This window comes from Homo sapiens, chromosome 11 (genome assembly GCF_000001405.40).
Source record: "Homo sapiens chromosome 11, GRCh38.p14 Primary Assembly".
In the NCBI taxonomy this organism is placed as follows: Eukaryota; Metazoa; Chordata; class Mammalia; order Primates; family Hominidae; genus Homo; species Homo sapiens.
In genome coordinates, this window is record NC_000011.10 from 94,550,215 (window position 1) to 94,573,153 (window position 22,939).

At 39.9% G+C, this 22,939-nt stretch overlaps 1 protein-coding gene and 1 long non-coding RNA gene across 3 annotated transcripts in view, besides 2 other annotated features; one reads left to right on the forward strand and one right to left on the reverse strand.

The window, feature by feature from the left end:
- Window positions 1-22,939, reverse strand: part of PIWIL4-AS1 (PIWIL4 antisense RNA 1) — a 195,024-nt gene that overhangs the window by 4,883 nt on the left and 167,202 nt on the right. The window lies entirely within an intron of this gene.
- Window positions 16,691-17,192: an enhancer, noted in NCBI's record as "H3K4me1 hESC enhancer chr11:94300071-94300572 (GRCh37/hg19 assembly coordinates)". NCBI's record gives its function as "activates a minimal SCP1, AML or CMV promoter by ChIP-STARR-seq in naive H9 embryonic stem cells {active_cell/tissue: H9 hESC(naive)}" and the evidence as "EXISTENCE:reporter gene assay evidence [ECO:0000049][PMID:30033119]".
- PIWIL4 (piwi like RNA-mediated gene silencing 4) overlaps window positions 17,154-22,939 on the forward strand; it is a 54,054-nt gene continuing 48,268 nt past the window's right edge. Inside the window, exons 1-2 of the mRNA NM_152431.3 lie at window positions 17,154-17,391; window positions 18,516-18,594. Of these exons, the coding sequence (NP_689644.2) occupies window positions 17,305-17,391; window positions 18,516-18,594 (166 nt within the window). The 5' untranslated portion in view covers window positions 17,154-17,304. The remainder of the gene's footprint in view (window positions 17,392-18,515; window positions 18,595-22,939) is intronic.
- Window positions 17,193-17,692: an enhancer, noted in NCBI's record as "H3K4me1 hESC enhancer chr11:94300573-94301072 (GRCh37/hg19 assembly coordinates)". NCBI's record gives its function as "activates a minimal SCP1, AML or CMV promoter by ChIP-STARR-seq in naive H9 embryonic stem cells {active_cell/tissue: H9 hESC(naive)}" and the evidence as "EXISTENCE:reporter gene assay evidence [ECO:0000049][PMID:30033119]".

Below are 22,939 nucleotides of genomic sequence, written 5' to 3' on the forward strand. Positions count from 1 at the left end.
AAATTAAATGCCATTTTAAAAAGAGTAGGATCAGAACTGGGAACATGATGATGGGCAGAGAGAAGGGGAGGCAAGCTTTCTTCTTAACAGCCGATGCTTAAATTATTGAAATAGGAAAATACGAAGTGGTAATAAACACTAACTATTGTCTCTTCTTTCCTACCTGCCCTCCTCCAACACCACACACACGCACGCACGCACACACACATGCATGCACACACACACACTCTGACATGTTCATTTAAGCACAGACTTTGAAAAATTATGATGGCCAGCTGAAGATAGGAGCAGGATTGGCAAGAAAAAAGGATTCAATAATGAATGAGTAAAAAGAAAAGTGCATTGTAAAATAGAGCAGGTGGTGAATATAGATGGGGAGTGAAGAGGAAAAGAAAGATGGGGGTGGGGATAAAAGTACAAAGTGAAGAGACGATCAGATAGAAGAAAGGCAGAGGCTAGGAAACATGAGAAAAGTAGAGGAAAGATAAGTGTTAAACGGCAAGAGTGGCAGGACAAAGGAGGAACATATGCGGCAAGAATGAGGAAATAGGTTAAAATCTACCATTCTCTGCCACAATGCTGAAAAGAAACCTTTGCTCCAGCTTGAAACGCAGCATCTGTCAGCAAATGGGGAGTCAAATCAAGAAGTCTGAACTCACTGACAGGGAAAGTCAGAAACTTAACAAGAAATCACCTAACATTTTAGCAGAAATATAGAACTGTCCCTTGATTCATGACAACAGATTCTTGAACTTGAATGAATGGTCCTTTTCTTCATCTTGGAAAATTCGCATTCATGGCCACTTTTTCATTTCTAGACAGCATATTTCATCTGTACTCAATATTCACTTTTAAAGAAGTATATTTTGTTATGTTGTCATAATCACCAATTTACTGTTTTAAAGAATAGAAGGCCAGGTGCGGTAGCTCACGCCTGTAATCCCAGCACTTTGGGAGGCTGAGGTGGGCAGATCATGAGGTCAGGAGATGGAGACCATCCTGGCTAACACAGTGAAACCCCGTCTGTACTAAAAATACAAAAAATTAGCCGGACGTGGTGGTGGGTTCCTGTAGTCCCAGCTACTCGGGAGGCTGAGGCAGGAGAATTGCTTGAACCAGGGATTTGGAGGTTGCAGTGAGCTGAGATCATGCCACAGTACTCCAGCCTGGCGACAGAGCAAGACTCCATCTCAAAAAAAAAAAAAAAAAAAAAAAAAGCTATTTCAAGTAAGTTTTAAAGAATTGGATTTTTATGATGGATTTATTTTCAGATCTTCAAATGAATGTTTTAAAAACTTACTGAAGCTGAGTGCAGTGGCTCATGCCTGTAATCACAGCACTTTGGGAGGCCAAGGTGGTCGGGTCCCTTGAACTCAAGAGTTCAAGACCAGCCTGGGCAACACAGAGAAACCCTGTTACTACAGAAAATGCAAAAGTTAGCTGGGCATGGTAGCGCGCACCTGTAGTCCCAATGACTTAAGGGGCTGAGGCAGGAGGATCGCTTGAACTTAGAAGGTCAAGGCTACAGTGAGCCAAGATCGCGCCACTGCACTCCAGCCTGGAGACAAAGAGATCCTATCCCAAAAAAAAATTACTGAATCTCACCTAATATACTAAAAAAAAAATGCCCTATGAGACCATGAGTGCTAAGCATCTTAATCTGAATTATTTTTAAAAGGGGAAGAAATGGGACTAAAATCAGCAACTTTTAACCAACATTTTTCGAGTGGCTTCTATGTGCAGGCACTGTGCTAGGACTTCGGGATGTAAATAAAATTAAAGCAGGGACCCTGCACTCAAAATAGTCTGTTGGACAAGCGTATGCCTTGTCAGGGAAACAGTCGTGTTGAGAAATAATCCCAACACATGATATATATGTTAGATCAAATGTAGAACCAAATAATTTAAATAACTGTCAGTAGGAGCCTCAGAGTTGTCAGAGGATTGCATTTCAGGAATGAATGTCCTTCATCAAAAACTAAGTCATCTTAATGTTATTTCTGGGAAATATAAGTGCTGCAGGCTCCAGTCTCAGCACTTTAGGCACCTGATGGTTTTCACTAATACTGCAGTTAAAAATAAGTGTTATTATTAAGCATCACCTTCAAAATGATTAATCTCTATAGGGATTTTGTTCTCCTAGCAACTAGGAACACCTGCCCTTACCCTATGATTTTTCTGGTTCTCATATGTTAAGTACATGTTTTAAAAATCTCTGTTCCATTAGCTGAAACTTATTCTGAAATATAATTAAGCACATCCATCTTGGTGATCAAACAGTAACACCTTTAGATAACTTTAGATAACCTAGGGTTTATCAAGCCTTCTTGGGGAGGTACAAATTTGTGGCTTTGAAGTTAGGATTCTTTGCCAGATGTTTTAATTCACTAATATTTGTTATTATTAAGCTCCTACTATACACAGGATGCTTTACCTAAGTATTGTTCTGTTTTTTAACTCTTTAGTTAAAGGCATTGTGGTACACAGCCACGATGACTGACATTGGTCCTTGCCTCCTGGTATCCATGCCCTCCTGTATTCTTTCCCTTGAGTTTGGTTTGGATTTAGTGACTCACTTCGAATGAATAGGATATGGGAGAAATGCAAGGCTGAAGCTTCTGAGATTAGGTTATACAAAGACCAGCTTGCTTTCTTGGGAGCCCTTTCTCACCCTCTGCCTTCGTTGCTCTGAAAGAAGCCAACTGATGTGGCGTGAACTGCCCTGTGGTAGGAAACTGAGAAAGGCCTCTGAGATCCTCGGTCCAACAGCTGGCTAAGAACTGAGTCCAGGCTGGGCACAGTGGCTCACGTCTGTAATCCCAGCACTTTGGGAGGCCGAGGCGGACAGACCACGAGGTCAGGAGATCAAGACCATCCTGGCTAACATGGTGAAACCCAGTCTCTACTAAAAAAATACAAAAAAATTAGCTGGGCATGGTGGCGTGCGCCTGTAGTCCCAGCTACTTGGGAGGCTGAGGCAGGAGAATCGCTTGCACCTGGGAGGCAGAGGTTGCAGTGAGCCAAGATCACGCCATAGCAGTCCAGCCTGAGTGATAGAGCAAGACTCTGTCTCAAAAATAAATAAATAAATAAAATAAAACACCAAAAAAACCTGAGTCCTGCCAACCACAACCACACAAGTGAGTTTGGAAATGATTCTCCCCAAGGTGAGCCTTCAGATGAGGCTGACATCCTAACTGCAATCTTACGAGAGACCTTGAGCTAGAGACCCCCAGCTAGGCCACACCAGGATTCTCGATGTTTTTTGTTTTAGGGTTTGTTTGTTATGCAGCAATAGATAACGCAGACATTATCTCAATTTTTGAGATAAGAAAACTGAGAATCAACATGTTAATCATGGACAATTATGCAGATAGTAACTGAGCCAGGATTCTAACAGGTCTATTTGACTCCAAAGTCTGTGTTCTTTCACTATCGTACTCTTTCATTAAGTCTAAGTTTTTTTTGTTGTTGTTTTTTGTTTTGAGACGGAGTCTCACTCTGTCGTTCAGGCGGAGTGCGGTGGCGCGATCTCAGCTCACTGCAAGCTCCGCCTCCCAGGTTCACGCCATTCTCCTGCCTCAGCCTCCGGAGTAGCTGGGACTACACGGCGCCCGCCACCGCGCCCGGCTTATTTTTTGTGTGTATATATATATATGTTTATATTATATATATAATATATATGTTTATATATATAATATATATGTTTTTATATATATATATATCTTTCTTATCTATATATGGGGCACATCTCTAGCACTGGTTTACCAGGAGGCTTGTGGAGTCTCAGTTTCTGGATATTTGGAATGAAGCAGGAGACAGGACTGGGAAGGGCTTCTTGGACAAGGTGGGCTGACTCACTAGAGGCAATGCCTTGGGTGGTTGCCAGCAGTTCTTATGGTGTTTACAAGAGCCTACAAACCTTATGGTGAGGGCCAGTATCAGGTTAACAGCAGTTGTGATCTTGTGAGATAAGTATAATACTCTCCAGGTGGACATGACATGGGGCCACATGGGTAGCAGCCTTGCTGTTTCAGGTATCCAGTCCATGTGATTTGGAGTATAATCACCATCACTGGCCAGGATTACAGGAATCAGGGTCCAGGGTCGCTCTGGTACTGGGTTCCTCATCATTCTACGAGCTTTCTAATTTTCTGCATTCCCAGTGATGGACAGGGAACACTGGTAATATAAAGAAACAGTACTGGCTCTAGAGTGATACAGAGTCAAGCCCATTGATTCCAGGTCCCGACTTATTTCAGGTCCTGGATTTCCTCAGGTACTTTTAATTTATAATATTTTGTAATATGTGCCTATTCCTCCATATTTCCCAAGTTTGGGTTTGGAAATGTGGTACTGTAATTTTGGAGGACAGCCTCCCTGTTCACAGATTGGTGATTGCAGGTTTAGGCCATCTATAGTGGATGGGATCCAATCTTAACAAAATCTTTTTGCCTGTGAGTGAAGCGGGAGGGGAGGTGTGTGTGTACTGGGATGGGGGCATGGGGGTGAGCAGGGTGATGCTGCTGAGCTGTCCACTGGGACTTCTGAACCCCAAATTTTTAACCTGAAAAACTTGAAGAACACTTGGCAAAGGAATTTGGTAGCTGTCCGCAACATTTTGGCCTAAGTATTGTTGATGTAGTGTGGATTTGTGGATTGTTCCTTATGTGGATTTTTCTACAACTGGAACACTAGAATGTACCTATCTCCTCTTAAATATCAGCTATGTCCTGTCTTGTTATCATGTCATTATGCTGGAACTATGATCATATGTAAGACATCTTTGTTGAGAATTATGTTTCTATTATTAATAGGTTTATATTACTTAAAATTTAAGCTGCAGGCAAACAGAAATAACTAGAAGCTGTAATAAAATTTGGGCACTAGTCATTCCAATTATCAGAGCTCAAATTTTTTTACTCTGATTTTCGGTATTATTTTAATAATAACAGCCTGCCTAGCTGGCAGAGGTTGCAGCGAGCTGAGATCACACAACTGCACTCCAGGCTGGGCAAGAGAGACCCTGTCTCAAAAAATGAAAAAAAAAAAAAAAACCCAGACTAATTCGTTGCTTTTCTTTTCATAACTCATTATGCACATATTTATAGTTATTTTTATTACTTGGATTATATACTATACCAATTTATTAAACTTAGAAGAAGCCACTGTGATGCCAAAAGTACATGTTCAAAGTACTTTTAATTTTCATGTTGCTCCTTCATGTGTAGCTACTTAATTTATTCATTTTTTTTTTCATTTGTCTAAGCGTAGCTGTGTCCCCAAACAATAATCAATGTGTCTCCTCCTCCTCCCTCTCTTCCCACTCCTATAATTCTCCTTTTTCCTCAATGTGGACTGGGCAGAATTCTAGTTATATTTCAGTTATTTGAACTTATACTTGAGATTAAATCTGCACCTATAGACTCTTGATGTAATTGGAACAGTATGTAATAGCTTTGACTTGTCTGATTTGCCTGATCATCTTGATATTGTGCAAGTGATAAGACTAGTATTTCCAGAAAGATGCTGCCATAAAGGTTATCTGTGGCCAATCAATGTCCAAATATGTGTGTCTCCTACGACCTGGCATATATTATCTTCTACCACGATTACAATTTAGCTTAATCTGTATAAATTCCATATCTGAAAACAGAGTGGTAGTGGGATAACTAGAAATCCAAAATCAGTCAGTCAATCAGATTTATTAATGCACAAGGATCACAGAGACAAAGCTGGGATTACAGGCACGTGCCACCATGCCCAGCTAATTTTTTGTATTTTTAGTAGAAACAGCGTTTCACCATGTCAGCCAGGCTGGTCTTGAACTCCTGACCTCAGGTGATCCACCTGCCTCGGCCTCCCAAAGTGCTGAGATTACAGGCGTGAGCCACCGCGCCCAGCCCTGTTCTTTTTAATAATAGCCATTGTGACTGGTGTGAGATGTTATCTCTTTGTGGTTTTGATTTGCATTTCTCTAATGATTGGTGATATTGAGTTTTTTTTTCACATGCCTGTTGGCCACATGTATGTCTTCTTTTGAAAAGTCTGTTCATGAAAGTCTGCTCATGTCCTTTGCCCACTTTTTAATGGGTTTTTTTTTTTCTTGTAAATGTGGTTAAGTTTCTTACAGATTGTGGATATTAGACCTTTGTCAGATGCATAGTTTGCAAATACTTTCTCCCATTCTGTAAACTGTTTACTCTGTTGATCGTTTCTTTTGCTGTGCGCAAGCTCTTTTGTTCAATTAGATTCCATTTACCAATTTTTTTGTTGCAATTGCTTTTGGCATCTTCGTCATGAAATCTTTGCCCATTCCTATGTCTAGAATGGTATTGCCTAGGTTGTCTTCCAGGGTTTTTATAGTTTGGGATTTTACAGTTAAGTCTTCAATCCATCCTGAGTTAATTTTTGCATGGGGTATAAACAAGGGGTCCAGTTTCAATTTTATGCATATGGCCTGCAGTTATTCCAGCACCATTTATTGAATAGGGAGTCCTTTCTCTATTGCTTGTTTTTGTCGGCTTTGTCAAAGATCAGATAGTTGCAGGAGTGTGTCCCTATTTCTGGGCTTTCTATTCTGCTCCATTGGTCTGTGTGTCTGTTTTTGTAGCAGTACCATGCTTTTTTTGGTTACTATAGCCCTGTAGTATAGTTTGAAATTGTGTAGTGTGATGCCTCCAGCTTTGTTCTTTTTGCTTAGGGTTGCCTTGGCTATTCGGGCTCTTTTTGGTTCCATATGAATTTTAAAGTAGTTTTTCCAGTTCTGTGAAGAATGTCATTGCTGGTTTAATAGGAATAGATTCAATGCTATTCCTGTTTGGGATACTCTGAATCAGGAGACTGAACTGGCCAATGTGCCAATAGCTTTGTGTGGCGCTATCCTAGATGTCAAGCCAGCACATTAGGAAGGTTAGGAAGGTTAGAATAGATTACCCCACACAAATGACAGGCAGAAATCTTGGCATGAAATAATATTATTCATTTATTGAAAAGGACTGGTGTGATGTAAAGGTGATTAACTCATAGTAGCACAGACAGCTTTGCTCTCTGATTCTCAGTCTGTAACGCAAATCAGAGAGATTGACTACAAAGTTCCCCTGTATTTCACTGGGCTATGTATCTGAGTTTTCAGAGCACTATAAACACTTGGCTGGCAGTATTTTCTGAAGTTTTAAGTGAGTATCTATTTATCATGCCCCATACATAATTAAACATAAAATTCTTAGTAATTCAAATGCCATTTTAAATGTTTCTTCTTTTTATACTTTTCTACATTATATTTATGCTTCCCATGAATCTTAACAAATTCCTTTTGAAGCCAAAAGAAATGAATGTCTTACTCATTACATCTTCCTTGCTCTGTTTGAAAGCACTTTATTTTGCCAGCATTCATCTAGCATGACTAATAAAGTTTTAAACTTATTTTTCATTGTTTCATGCTAAAATAATCTAAAGTATTATATAGCATTTTGGAAAATTAGATGTACTCTCCTAGGTGTCTTCTTTAAAGATTTGTTAATGTCCTTTATTAACCAGTAATTCTATAAGCATGTAGCATATACCATTAACCACAATTATTTAGACATCAACTTTGGCAATCCTGCCATTCTGCTTAAAATTCCACTTGCATTCTCTTGATATTATGAATATAATATCTCACTTTATTTATTAAGTATAACAGTCTGGTGCCTAGACCCTAGACAGTAAGCAAGTTGAATTAAGGAAGAAAGATTAAACTTATTTCTGTATATCATAATGTGTGAGAGTAAACAGTTTCATCCTACTTTAACTAGTATTCTGCTTTCTTAATTGCCAAAGTTGTTGAGTGATTTGAGAAACATGATTAAGGAGTTGGAATAAAGGTTCTTTATGGAAGCATGTGAAGTGATGAGACAATATAAACCAGAGAAGAAAAAGCTATGGGGGAATTTTCTCATGGTCTTCAAGCATCTTTAATCATTCAACAAATATTTTGCCAAGTTGCTTGGCACTGTTCTAGTTGCTGGGGATAAAGCAGTGAACACTCAGGCAAGGCTCAAGTACTCGTGGTGGAATCTTCTGGAGGAAAGAGAAAATAAACAAGTAACTAAAGAAGTAATTTTCTATAGCATATGAGGGCTCATTGTTCAGAATGATATCCAGCATTTTCAGAGGCCTTTGAACCAGAGCAACAACATCTTGAATAGAGGCTGAGTAAAATAAGCCTGAGACCTGCTGGGCTGCTTTCCCAATAAGTTAGGTATTCTAAGTCACAGGATAAGATGGGAGGTTGGCACAAGATACAGGTCATAAAGACCTTGCTGATAAAACAAGCTGCAGTAAAGAAGCAGACTAAAACCCACCAAGACCAAGATGGTGATGAGAGTGACCTCTGGTTGTCCTCACTGCTCCACTCCCATCAGCAGTATGACAGTTTACAAATGCTGTGGCAATGTCAGGAAGTTACCCTTATGGTCTAAAAAGGGGAAGCATGAAATAATCTACCCCTTTTTAGCAAATAATCAAGAAAAAGCCACAAAAATGGGCAACCAGCAGCCCATGCTGCTGCTCTGCCTATGGAGTGGCCATTTTTTTTATTCCTTTACTTTCTTAATAAACTTGCTTTCACTTTACTCTATGGACTTGCCTCAAATTCTTTCTTGTGCGAGATCCAAGAACCCTCTCTTGGGGTCTGGATTGGGACCCCTTTCTGGTAACAGCATCTTTTATCTTTGCTGAGACCCACATAAAAGAAAATGAGTTTTGTACCATGGGGTAGCGAAGAAGTTCCTTTAACAGGGAGAGTACATGAGGTTGACCTAAGTGGGAAGACGGCAGCTCAGAGAAGGTGAACTCTATTGAAGCTGCAATATGGCTATCTAAGCTGAGTACTTCCCTACATACATTATCCCATTTTACACTCACAACACCCCCTGTTGAGCTAAGTTTTATAATCCTCTTGTTACAGATAACTGAGAAGCGGAGCTACTCACTTCGGATCACACAGCTCCTCACTGCACAGCAAAGGCTGATTCTACATGTCTTGGACTCCAAGGCTACTGGTTTTCCCTGTGAACCACCTTGAGATTAGGTGGATGAAAGATCAACATTCTAAATATTTAAGCTTCTGTTTAGGATTGCTTAGGTAGTTTCTGGAATAAAAGTAAGAAAAAAAGACTATATTGGTGGCTTTCAAACTTCGTTTTTAAAAGAGCAGAATCTAATTTTCAAACAAAAGTTTATGTAGAATCCCAATATATGAAACAGATTAGAATAGAGCAGTCCTGTTGGAGCTGAGTCACTCATGACTCCCCTCACCCACCCCCTCAGGAAATTCCCCCTCAAAGACTAAGCCCCAATGTCCCAACAACCTTCTCTTTGCCTAGTGAATATTACCATAGTATTAAGCCAAAACAGGGTCTGAACCAATTAGGATGTTACCAAATTTGAATCGTATTACCTCAAGAAATCTCAGCTTTCATACTCCATGTGGGAAGACTTGACTAGCCATGAAGTCTGACAATAGTGTGGATTGGGGTCATTGTTATTTGAGGCATGAGTTCAGTAAGGGAATTACTGGGGCTGAGTTCAGTGGTTAACAGAAGGCTTACTGTTCCCAATTTTTCAGACTGAGGTCAACAACTCTGAACTTTGTAGATCTTAGGCCTGTTTGTTACTCTTGGTAATGCTCCTTTATTTACAGAGTTGCTAATGAAAGATATCCCTCCATTCCAATCACCCAGCACTGAGAAAATCAAAAGTTTTAACTGAGTCCTTACTATAGTCATAAATTGGGAGACCCTTCTTAGGGTAACAAAATAAGCAGCCAATGTTGAGGGAATCTAACTTCCTTGTTTATCCTGGTAGGCCCCAAGCTGGAGCTGGAAAGACACCAAATACAACTCCGTACAATAAGGGCGGAAGTACTGACTTGGGGAAAACAGGGAAGAGCTTTGCTAATTGAGAAAATATTTCCTTTCCCAGTATGAATGGAGGCGGTCCTGCTCCCTACCCTCCTCTATATGTTACCTGTCCTTGGGAGAGATGCATGCACTGCTCTAACACATTCCATAATTAAACAGAGTAAGTGGACATGCCTGCAGCTCACACAGAAGGGACTACTGCAAAGGACCCAGGTCTACCCTGGCCATTGACATTAGAGGGCCAGGGATCCTCCCTCACCCCACCTTCTGCACGCTTCTGTAGGGCCTGGGAGCCAGTGGCCATCCCTGACCTGATTGCTGCATTCACTGAGTGTGCTTCTACATCTAATCACTCAGTTTGCAGAATGCATATGGGGGTGAGAGCAAGACCAGTGTTATCTGTTGGGCACCATAAGCACAGTGCATAGGGCCCACAGTGCTTTTGGGGGCCCATGAAAATGTTTTAATTTCTTTTAAAATCAAAAGAGAAAAAATTTGGCTGGGCACGCTGGCTCATGCCTGTAATCCCAGCACTTTGGGATGCCGAGGCGGGCGGATCACCTGAGGTCAGGAGTTTGAGACCATTCTGGCAAACATGGTGAAACCTCGTCTCTACTAAAGATACAAAAATTAGCTGGGCATGGTGGCACATGCCTGTAGTCCCAGCTACTTGGGAGGCTGAGGCAGGAGAATCGCTTGAACTCAGGAGGCAGAGGTTGCAGTGAGCCGAGATCGTGCTACTGCACTCCAGCCTGGGCGGCAAGAGTGAGACTCCATCTATTAAAAAAAAAAAAAGAGAGAGAGAGACAGAGAGAGAGAGAATTTTTTCTTGTAATGGAAGAAAGAGCTCACAAAGGAAAGTGCTTACAGCTGAGGAAAGTCAAAATGACATCACTGGGTCATTGGAATGGGGGACTTCCTGTTGGAGGTGGATGGATTTTCTTAGGGAAAGAGAGTGCTTATGTGAGGAAGTGCAAACCTAATGGAGAGGAAACTAGGGGAAGAACTAGGGAATAGAAAAGCTCTCTCTTGTAACCATTTCCTCCTCTTTTATCTTGTACATATAGAAATAATCTTAAATCCTTTCTGGAGCACAATGGGACAAGGAAGCAGATGATGCATTTTGGAAAGATTTCCATTACAATGTTTAAGCAGTTTAACATCTAATGCTTAATGTGAATTTTTCTTTCTCTGAACATATCAATAATATATTTTTCACAATTTGTTTTAAAAAAGAAAGCAAGACTGTTCATGTTACAGATTCAAGAAGAGTAAAAAAGCATGACAACTAAATGCAATGCATTATTCTGACCTAACCATATTCCAGGCCAGAAAAAAAATTGCTTTTTTGAGGACACTTAGCAAAGTTAACTATGGACTATAGTTTAATCAGTAGTATTTACCCATTTTAAATCTCCTGATGTAGATAATTGTACTGTTGTTGTATAAGGGAATGAAAAATATTCTTACACCTAACAAATATAGTAAGTCCTCAACGTTGTCAGTAGATTCTTGGAAACTTCGACTTTAAGCCAAACAACGTATTATGAAACCAATTTTACCATAGGCGGCTAATTGATGTAAACAAGAGTTAAGTTCCTATGGCTTACTTCTGGTGACAAAGATATCACCAAACTTCTAAATACAGACTCAAAACACTTCTAATATTAAACATTGAAATGTAAGCTATACATACATTTAAGAAAGATTAATAAAAACAAGTAAGATAATTATTTACCCACATTTTCCAGTTTAGGGTCATGGGTAGCTGGAGCCTATCCCAGCAGCTCAGGAACCCTTCCTGAACAGGACTCCATTCCATTGCAGGGAACACTCACATCCACACCAACATTCACTTAGACGTGGACCTTGTAGACATGCCAATGAACCTAACACGCACAGCTTTGGGATGTGGGAGGCAATTGGAGTATCCAGATAAAACTCAGGTAGACATGGGAAGAATATGCCCACTCCAGGGGCCGTGGCTGAAAATAGATTTTTTTCTCATCAACATTATAAGGAAATGATGTTGAATGAAGCGACATTATTCAAAGATCTGCTGTGCACACTAAACTATTTAAGAGTCAAAGGTCATGATGTCAACTTCTTTGCAACATGGACCAGAAAAAAAAAAAATATATATATATATATAGATATATATATATGCACACACACACATACAAAGAAAAAATAATAAGGCAAATATAGCAAAATGTTAATTGGTGAATCTTGGTAAAAGGTTTATGGGCATTCTTTGCGTTATCCTTGCAACTTTTCTGTAAATGTGATATATTGCAAAATAAAAAGTTAAAAGAATGAGACAGTTCAAAATTAATCCAGTATTATTAAAAGAAGGCCCAATGAAGGTAACATATTGATGCACTAATTCTACAGATGTTGAACCACCTACACCTGTGCCTGAGGAATTAATTTTGTGTTAGCAGGAACCATGGGTATTGTCAAATAAATTAGCTGATGTGAACAGGCCTACACTTGTACATGATCAGGGTCTACCTAATAAAAAATCATTTAAAAAATTAAGTTACAGCCACAGACAAGACTGAATAACTGAAAAACTAATTTTTACAGCTGACTTGCAGGATGAGTTTAGGCAAATCTTCGGACTGTGGCTTCTCATTGATAAAATTTAGACACTAATGCTTGGACATTTAGATACTAATGCTTGGAACCATTACCATTTACAGTATTTCACAGCAAGCATGGAATCTGTTTTAGAATGAATACTATATTTTCCTACTGAACTATGTTAGCTTAAGTTTCCTCCCAAATAAACCTGAGATAAGGGCTTGAAAGTGGGTGGTTTATTTTAGTGACAGCAAGGAACAGGAGAGAGGGCCTGGGAAGAGTGAAATAAGGGAGGATGAAATTCAACTCAAGAATGCATTATCAAGCTCATGACTTCTGTGGCATCTGGTACTTGACCCCACTACGGACCCTCTGTGAGGCTAAAGAATGCACTGTAGAATTGTCTGCCCAGTGGATGGAAGAGGGAGGATTTATCCACATTCTCCCACCCCTTTTGGCGAAAGGTTGCCCCATGAAGGTGTTAACTTGAGGTTTGCTTCTGTGTCAGTATGGCTGAGTGGGTGTCCTGCTGTAGCAGAGAAGCCCTAGACAGAACTGAGAGATACAGGATTCAGTTGAGGTGCGATGCTATCAGGTTACACTGTGTGCAGTTGATTGCCATAGCAATGGCTGGAGTTGAAAGGTGGACTGAGAAAAATGTGAAGGAAGGGTGGCATGAGACAAGAGGCACCTATGACTAGCAGTATCCTGAGCCAATACATGCACATGGAGTGATCCTGATGCAAGTTCAAAAGTATGACACACTGCAAAAAATGTACTGAATTCATTTTTATAAAATTTGTTCACCACACACGATAATAATAATAATAAATTATGCAATTTTTATTGTGTGGCAAACACCATACAAACATCATTATTATTTCATTTAATCCTCAAAACAATCCTTGGGGTAGACATATCTCAGCGATTCTCAGCCAGGAGTGACTTGCCCTCCAGGATACAGTGAGTCATGTCTAGAGATATTTTTGGCTGTTACAATTAGAGGGAATGCTACTACCATCTAGTGAGTAGAGGCGAGAGATACTGCTAAACATCCTGCAAGGCATAGGACAGCCTTCCACAACAGAGAATTTTCCAGTCCAAAATGTGAATACTGCTAAGGCTGAGAAATCCTAGTGTCACTATCCCCACTTTATAGTCAAATAAACTGAGCCTAAATGAGATTACATAAATTTCCTTGGGTGAGAAAGCTAGTAAACAATGGAGTTGGGATACAAACTCTGGTCTGCCTGACATTAACCTTATGCCATGCATACCTGTAACCTTACCGTACTGCCTCCCTACTGATGGAGAACTTTGCTCCTTAGTTCAGCTAAAACCGAGTTCTTGTCACATGACCAGGAAAAGTTAGGCATGCACACACATTGAAGGGTGAGGAAGCAGAATTTATTGGGCGAGAAGGAAAAAAACTTTCAGCAAAGCGACAGGCCCCCACCTCAGAGATTCATTCCAGGCCACATATAGGAACTGAAGAGCCCAGGCTCCTCCCCACTGCCAGCGGTTGGTTCCAACTTGCTGTGGCTCCAACCCCATTCTCCCAGTGTGCAGGCCAGTCAGAGGTTCTCCGGGAACCCCCCTCTTATCTTCCTCCTGCATCTATCACTCCCACAGGGAAAGTACACGTGCATTTAAAAAACCCTATGTGGAAGGCACAATGTGACTGATTTGTATGTCGGTTATCATAGCAATCATAGAAGAGAGTTGAAAAATGCAGATAATAATTAGAAATCATCAATATTTCTGATTTTATAACACATTAGTATTTGGAAAATCGAAGGGATCTGACTGTTCAAAGGTCTCATGTATTCTTAGCCTTTCTTGTCACTCTGTCATGTTACCACATCAATGCAGGTCACATGAAAAGGAATGTGGTATCAGGAGGTGGTAAATTTGGAAAACATGGGCTGGAGACTATTCTTACATTCAGAAACAAAGCACAGATTTTCAGAAGCAGATTCCTTGTCCACACTGTGTTTTCCATCTGCCCCTCCTTTGTAGCACAGCAGTTTATGATCACTCACAACTTTCAGACTCTTTCATTTTCAAAGAAATCTATTATTATTCATTAGAGTAGCTTCACTGAACCAAGTCCAAGGCTGGCCATCTCTGCCCAAGGCCATCATTGTCTCTTGCACTTGCCAGCAGTCAGGGTTAATATGTTCCAAGAGAACCTGATGAAAGGGTATTCTAATGGAGAATAAATAGAATGGCAGAGCAGGGCATAACACACAGGCTTTGGGCTTTTTCCTATAGTAAGAGCTGCATCAAAAGTAAGGCAGATCACCTTCTTGGAGGGAGGAGAGTAGAAGATGAGTGGATACAGTGTGAGCTTTACAGGCTGACAGACTTGAATTGGGATCCCAGCTATGCCACATAATGTAGGGCCTTGGGCAAGTCACTTAGTTTGCCTAAGCTTTAATTTCCTAATCTATAAAACTGGGGCAATAATGCCTAGCATACTGTAGGTATTCAATAAACATTAGCTATTATATTTATTAAATTTTCAGTCCCCAAGTACAGAAAATTGAATTAATCATATTCTTTGATTCATTTTGTATGATTCTCACGGGTCTGTGCAAGTTCTATATTATATTATACTGTCTTTTGCTTTCTCTTTCTCTGCCCCATTCACATTCCTGTTTTATTCCCTTATATAAGTACATAATCTATTGTGTCTGTTCTTGGATATATATATTTACTTAAAAAATTAGTACATATCCCATATACAGGTGTCCTTAATGTTTTAAAAATTAATGTAATATTTTACCATTGTATAGATCTCAATCTTTTTTTAAGCTTTTCCTTTATTCAATACAATGTGTTTAAGATTTATTCATGTTGCTAAATATATTTTTAGGTCATTATTCCTGAATGTTAGCCTAGTAATCCACTCCATGTGTCTACCACATTTTACCTACCTGTTGCCCTTCTGATGGGCACATAAGCTGCCTGCAACTACCTGCCACTCCAAATAATACTCTGATGAACAGCCTGTACATGTGCCCTTATAACTTCAGCACAAGCTTTTCAACAAATCCAGGGTAGTATTTAATAAAATTCTACACACATTTATAATTAAAATAATCTTTGAAAAGCAGGAATAGAAGAAAGCTTTCTTAAGATGATAAGGTCTATAAAATAGATTTTTATAGCAAATATCAAACAAAATGGAGACATTTCAGTCTTTAAAATCAGAAAGAAAACAAGAATTCCAACTACCATAGTAACCTTCAACATTGTACTGAAAAATCTGAGCAACATAAGACAAGAAAAACAAATAAAAAGAAAAAGAATAAGAATGGATGAGACAAAATTATCATTATTTGTAGATGATATGATTATCTACATACAAATTCAATGAAATCAAAAGACAAGCTCTAAGAACTGAGGAATTCAGCAAGCTTGATAAACAATATCAACTTTACAAAAACCAGTATCATGTGTCTACACTAATAATTACCAAGTATGAAACATGACAAGAAGATATAGTTCACAATAGTAACAAAAACTATGAAATTTTCAAAAGTTAACTCAGTATATGAGACTTTTATGAAAAAAATTAAACTCTATTAAAAGATAAAAAGAAAGACTTGAATAAATGGAGAAATCTAACATTGTAAAGATGTAAGTTCTTCCTAAATTGATTTATATATTGGATACAATGCTACTGAAATTTAAGCAAGATATTTAAAGAAACTTGACGAACTTATTTTAAAATTTATATGGAAGAATAAAGTCTGTGAATAAATAAATCAGTTGGAAAAAATATCAAAAAGCAAAGACTTATACCACCAGATTCTATGAATAACACAAAGAAATAATGATACAAAGTGTTGAAGTCTTGGTGCAGAAATGGAAGGCACAGACTAGATCTATTGATACGTGGGAATCTGTCATTTGCTGGAGGTGGCTTCACAAAGTATTAGAGAAAGTATATGCTATTTAACAGATGATGTCAAGGAAGAATGGCTCACTATATGGAGATAAAGTTGGACTTCTATCTCACTCACATTGCATGTATACTTACATATGTGTGAGTGTAAATACCTGAGGGATTGAAGATACTTGCTGTGAACAGTACACTTACGAAGTTAATGAAAAGAAAATATTATATAATGTCCTTGTCCTTGTAAACTGAGGACAGGTGGAATTTTCTTTTAAAAAGACCCAAAAAGCACGAATTTTAAAATGGCTGAATTTGACAACATCGAAATTTAGGATTTTGGTTAAAGCATTTCATAGTAAAAATTAACAAGTGATAGATAGGAAGTAGATATTTGCATATTTGCAATTTTTTAAAAAAAAGTTTTCTTCCAAATCACAAAGATGAGACACTCAACTTTAAAAATGGGCAACGGATACGACAGGCAATTTGCAGAATGGAAAACTCCAAAACTATCACATGTATGAAGAGGTACTTACCCTCATTGGTGAGCAGAAAATACAAACTGAAAAAAAAATTATTGTTTGATGCCACCCAATACACATAAGATTGGTAAAAATGAAAAAGCTGGATAATGCCAAATTTGGGGGTGGGGGTGGAAGTAATGGGAAGAAAAAGGAAGTCCTGCACAGGCCCACGTGCTCGCGCCAACCCCTACGCCCCAGCGCGCCTTCTCCACCCACGCACGGGCCTCGGACGCATTTCCAGCCCCGGCGTTGGTTGTGGATGCTGGACATCCACCGCCTCCAGGCAGTTTCGCCGTCACACCGTCGCCATCTGTAGCCAAAGCAAAACATATCCTAACTGAGACTTTGCAGCTCTTGTGGCCACTCTGGGCTCACCGGGAACATGAGTGGAAGAGCCCGAGTGAAGGCCAGAGGCATCGCCCGCAGCCCCAGTGCCACAGAAGTGGGGCGCATCCAAGCCTCGCCATTGGTGTGTAGAATGCTTATTGCGCATGGTTTCGTTTTCTCCTACCTCTGTCTCTAGCCTGAACAATGCCTTCCTCTGCATGTATCTCCTCCTCTCTGTTACGAAGTAGTGCGTTATCTTTTCTCTCAAGTTTGAGTCTTTCCAAGGTTTCTTCTAACAGTTTTCTCCTTCTAGGGATCTTGTCTGAGTAAGATATTAACGTAGGTATATTAGCCAGTAAAGAGGACTGAAGATTGGGGACAAATATGTCATTCTCTTCTACTTTCTGAGTTTTAATTTCATGATTTCGTTTTAAATTGCCTTGTAAAAAGTGATGTGCTTTCATAACATTACACGGCATATAATCTAATGCAGTTTTTCTGGCTAATTAGTATATAAAAATAAGTACTCTCACACATGTGGTTTAGATTAAACTACTGTTTCTTGAGCAACCACTATAGAGAAAGCTCCTTGCTGGATTTAGGCAACTAGATTGACCTGCCAATAAGCAACTTTGGGGTGATGTTATTAATACAACTACATATTCTTAGCATTTGGAGCAAGTATCCAAATGAATAGTTTGTGGTCCTTATGCCTTTATTCTCATGAAGTGGTCTTCTCTGGACTTTGTTCATTTTTTAGCAGGCCAAGATGGAGTAACTTCTTGAACAAAGAGAAGTAGTTACTATGAAAAGAGAAAATGCTAATGGTTCCCTTGGCCTATTTTGTGAACCTGTTTTGGCCCTGTTTATTCATGCAGAGTCATGATCTGAGCTGCTGACCCGGGGCCTCTGTTCATTTTATGTCCGTGGGCTATGGAAGCATGAGGTCCATGTGCATCTGTGCCGCATGCCCTCTGGTGAGCTCCCTGGGCACAAGGATCTCATCTCTGCTTCTTTACACCTCCAGCTATATCTGGCGACAGTTGGTACTAAAATCAAAGTTTGATGAGTGAGGAAAACTATAGCGTGTCCTTATCCTCTTTTCTAGAATGGGCACTCTCTTCTCATCTCTCAAGGGTTTTACCTGTTAACATTTTCTTTGCCTAGTTCATGGTAATCTAAAGACCTGACACTGTTCTTAGGATAATCTTTTGGTTTGTGACTTACCATTGTAAATCTGAACAAAACTTTTTTTTGCCATTTTAGCCTAGATCTGTTGATCTTAGTAACAATGAAGCATCCTCTAGCAATGGCTTCTTGGGAACAAGCAGGATCTCAACCAACGGTAAGTGCAGCTCAGCCTGTTCATTTAGTACCATTCAACCTGAATGGAGCAAGAGGAGCCCTGCCAGGCCTTACAGCAGTAGGCCCACCTCTTGCACATCCTGATTTCCTTTCCTTGAAGGATCCCCTTTGTCATGTTCCTTTGGGACTCTTTAACATAGAAGCACGTGCTGAATTTCCTGACAGTGTTTGGTAGACGGGACTCCATAGATATTAGGAAGCCAGTTTCTGTCTCTTTCTATTCACTGAAGGATTTTGAAAAAATGCTTTAAAAATCTTTATGGTGTTATATACGAATACCATTTGATCCAGCAACCCCACTGCTGGGTATCTACCCAAAGGAAAATAAATCATTATATCAAAAATTTATCTGCACTTGTACGTTTATTGCAGCACTATTCACAATAGCAAAGATATAAAATCAACTTAAGCATCCATCGATGGATAATTAGATAAAGAAAATGTGGTAACATATATAAGAGAATACTACTCAGCCATAAAAAGAATGAAAGCATGTCTTGTAGCAACATGGATGGAATTGGAGGCCATTATCTTTTGTTTTTTTTTTTTGTTTGTTTGTTTGTTTTTGAGATGGAGTTTTGCTCTTGTTGTCCAGGCTGGAGTGCAATGGCGCAATCTCAGCTCACCGCAACCTCCACCTCCCAGGTTCAAGTGATTCTCCTGCCTCAACCTCCCAAGTAGCTGGGATTACAGGCATGTGCCACCACGCCCAGCTAATTTTGTATTTTTAGTAGAGACAGGGTTTCTCCATGTTGGTCAGGCTAGTCTTGAACTCCTGACCTCAGGTGATCTGCCCACCTTGGCTTCCCAAAGTGCTGGGATTACAGGTATGAGCCACCGCCCCCGGGCGGCGGCCATTATCTTAACTGAAATAACTCAGAAACAGAAAGTCAAATCCTGCATGTTCTTACTTATAAGTGGAAGCTAAATAATGTGTACACATGGACATAGAGTGTGGAATAATAGACATTGGAGACTCGGAAGGTTGGGAGGGTGGGAGGGGAGTGAGAAATTGCTTAATGGCTGCAATGTACATTATTCAGATGATGGTTACACTAAAAGCCCAGACTTCACACTATGCAATATATCCATGTAACAAAACTATGCTCTTATGCCTTAAATGTATACGCATTTTTAAAAAAGCAGAAAAAAAAAATCTGAACGGCATATAAATGCCAATGCCATTGCTTGGAAGGATGGTAGAAACCTGGTATCTACCAGTGCATGTAGCCAACTGCTCTCTTTCTTCCCCTCCTGTGGTAAACATCACCATTCAATGGTAGCTCTCCTCACAGCAAAGCCAGATTTGGTCTCAGGATACTTGTCAACATGCTACTCCAAGTCACCACAATCACACACTGTGAGTTGGCATGCCCCATGTGTTAGTCTGCTAGGGCTGCCCTGACAAAGTAGTACTAAGTAGGAGGCTTAATCAGCAGAAATTTATTTTCTCACAAATCTGGATGCTTAAAGTCTGAGATAAGGTGGGGACAGGGCTGGTTTCTTCTGAGGACCCTCTCCTTGGTTTATCCAAGGCCGTCTTCTCCTTGTGTTCACATGATCTTTCCTTTGCATTTCTATGTCCTGATTCCTCTTCTTATGACAACAGTCATACTGGATTAGGAACCACCATAATGACCTCACTTTAACTTAATCACCTATTTAAAGACCCTGTCACCAAATATGATCACATTCTGAGGCACTGGGGGTTAAGACATCAGCATATGAATTTTGGGGGAACACAGTGTAGCCTGTGACCCTGAATAAAACCAGTTAGCCAGGCCGGGCGTGATGGCTCATGCCTGTAATCCCAGCACTTTGAGAGGCCAAGGTGGGCGGATCACCTGAGGTCAGGAGTTCGAGACCAGCCTGGCTAACATGGTGAAACCCCGTTCCTACTAAAAATACAAAAAATTAGCCAGGCATGGCGGTGCACACCTGTAATCCCAGCTGCTTGGGAGGCTGAGGCAGAAGAATCGCTTGAACCCGGGAAGTGGCGGTTGCAGTAAACCGAGATTGCGCCCTTGCACTCCAGCTTGGGCAACAAGAGGGAAATTTCATCTCAAAAACAAAAACAAAAACAAACAAACAAAAAAAACAATTTAGTCATCTCTTTTGTTCTGACCCCGGTGTTTTTTATTTTCACAAGCAATTGATTTCTAATAAATGTGGAAGCTCTAAGCATTAGGTTCTCCCAGACTCTGAGGGTCTGGTCCCCCCACCCATCTCATGTCTGACTCTGCTGTTCCTCACTGGGAGTTTTCCAGTCCTGTGTATGTACCCCTGTGATCCAAACACACAAATGAATGTGCAGCCTCTGAGCACAGAAGCCCTACTCTGACAGGCCCAGTGCCCTCCATTATTTTCAAACATTATTCTATCCTTGCAAATGTTTTTTCACATCTGCCACACATTTTTTTTTGTTATTAGGTTTTTTTATTTAAAAATTTTTTATTCTTATTTATTTTTTATTATACTTTAAGTTCAAGGGTACATGTGCACAACGTGCAGGTTTGTTACATATGTATACATGTGCCATGTTGGTGTGCTGCACCCATTAACTCGTCATTTACATTAGGTATATCTCCTAATACTATCCCTGCCCCCTTCACCCACCCCACGACAGGCCCTGGTGTGTGATGTTCCCCACCCTGCATCCAAGTGTTCTCATTGTTTAATTCCCACCTATAAGAGAGAACATGGGGTGTTTGGTTTTCTGTCCTTGGGATAGTTTGCTCAGAATGACGGTTTCTAGCTTCATCCATGTCTCTACAAAGGACATGAACTCATCCTTTTTTATGGCAGCATAGTATTCTATGGTGTATATGTGCCACATTTTCTTAATCCAGTCTATCATTGTTGGACATTTGGGTTGGTTCCAAGTCTTTGCTATTGTGAATAGTGCCACAATAAACATACGTGTGCATGTGTCTTTATAGTAGCATGACTTATAATCTTTTGGGTATATATCCAGTAATGGGATGGCTGGGTCAAATGGTATTTCTAGTTCTAGATCCTTGAGGAATTGCCACACTGTCTTCCAAAATGGTTGAACTAGTGTACAGTCCCACCAACAGTGTAAAAGTGTTCCTATATTTCCCCACATCCTCTCCAGCACCTGTGGTTTCCTGACTTTTTAATGATCGCCATTCTAACTGGTGTGAGATGGCATCTCATTGTGGTTTTGATTTGCATTTCTCTGATGGCCAGTGATGATGAGCATTTTTTCATGTGCCTGTTGGCTGCATAAATGTCTTCTTTTGAGAAGTCTCTGTTCATATCCTTGGCCCACTTTTTGATGGGGTTGTTTGATTTTTTCTTGTAAATTTGTTTAAGTTCTTTGTAGATTCTGGATAGTAGCCCTTTGTCAGATGGGTAGATTGCAAAAATTTTCTCCCATTCTGTAGGTTGCCTGTTCACTCTGATGGTAGTTTCTTTTGCTGTGCAGAAGCTCTTTAGTTTCATTAGATCCCATTTGTCAATTTTGGCTTTTGTTGCCATTGCTTTTGGTGTTTTAGACATGAAGTCCTTGCCCATGCCTATGTCCTGAATGGTATTGCCTGGGTTTTCTTCTAGGGTTTTTATGGTTTTAGGTCTAAGATTTAAGTCTTTAATCCATCTTGAATTAATTTTTGTGTGAGGCGTAGGGAAGGGATCCAGTTTCAGCTTTCTACATATGGCTAGCCAGTTTTCCCAGCACCACTTATTAAATAGGGAATCCTTTCCCCATTTCTTGTTAATGTCAGGTTTGTCAAAGATCAGATGGTTGTAGATGTGTGGTGTTATTTCTGAGGACTCTGTTCTATTCCATTGATCTATATCTCTGTTTTGGTACCAGTACCATGCTGTTTTGGTTACTGTAGCCTTGTAGTATAATTTGAAGCCAGGTAGCGTGATGCTGCCAGCTTTGTTCTTTTGGCTTAGGATTGTCTTGGCAATGTGCGTTCTTTTTTGGTTCCATATGAACTATAAAGTAGTTTTTTCCAATTCTGTGAAGAAAGTCATTGGTAGCTTGATGGGGATGGCATTGAATCTATAAATTACTTTGGGCAGTATGGCCGTTTTCACGATATTGATTCTTCCTATCCATGAGCGTGGAATGTTCTTCCATCTGTTTGTATCCTCTTTTATTTCGTTGAGCAGTGGTTTGTAGTTCTCCTTGAAGAGGTCATTCACATCCCTGTAAGTTGGATTCCTAGGTATTTTATTCCCTTTGAAGGAATTGTGAATGGGAGTTCACTCATGATTTGGCTCTCTGTTTGTCTGTTATTGGTGTGTAGGAATGCTTGTGATTTTTGCACATTGATTTTGTGGCCTGAGACTTT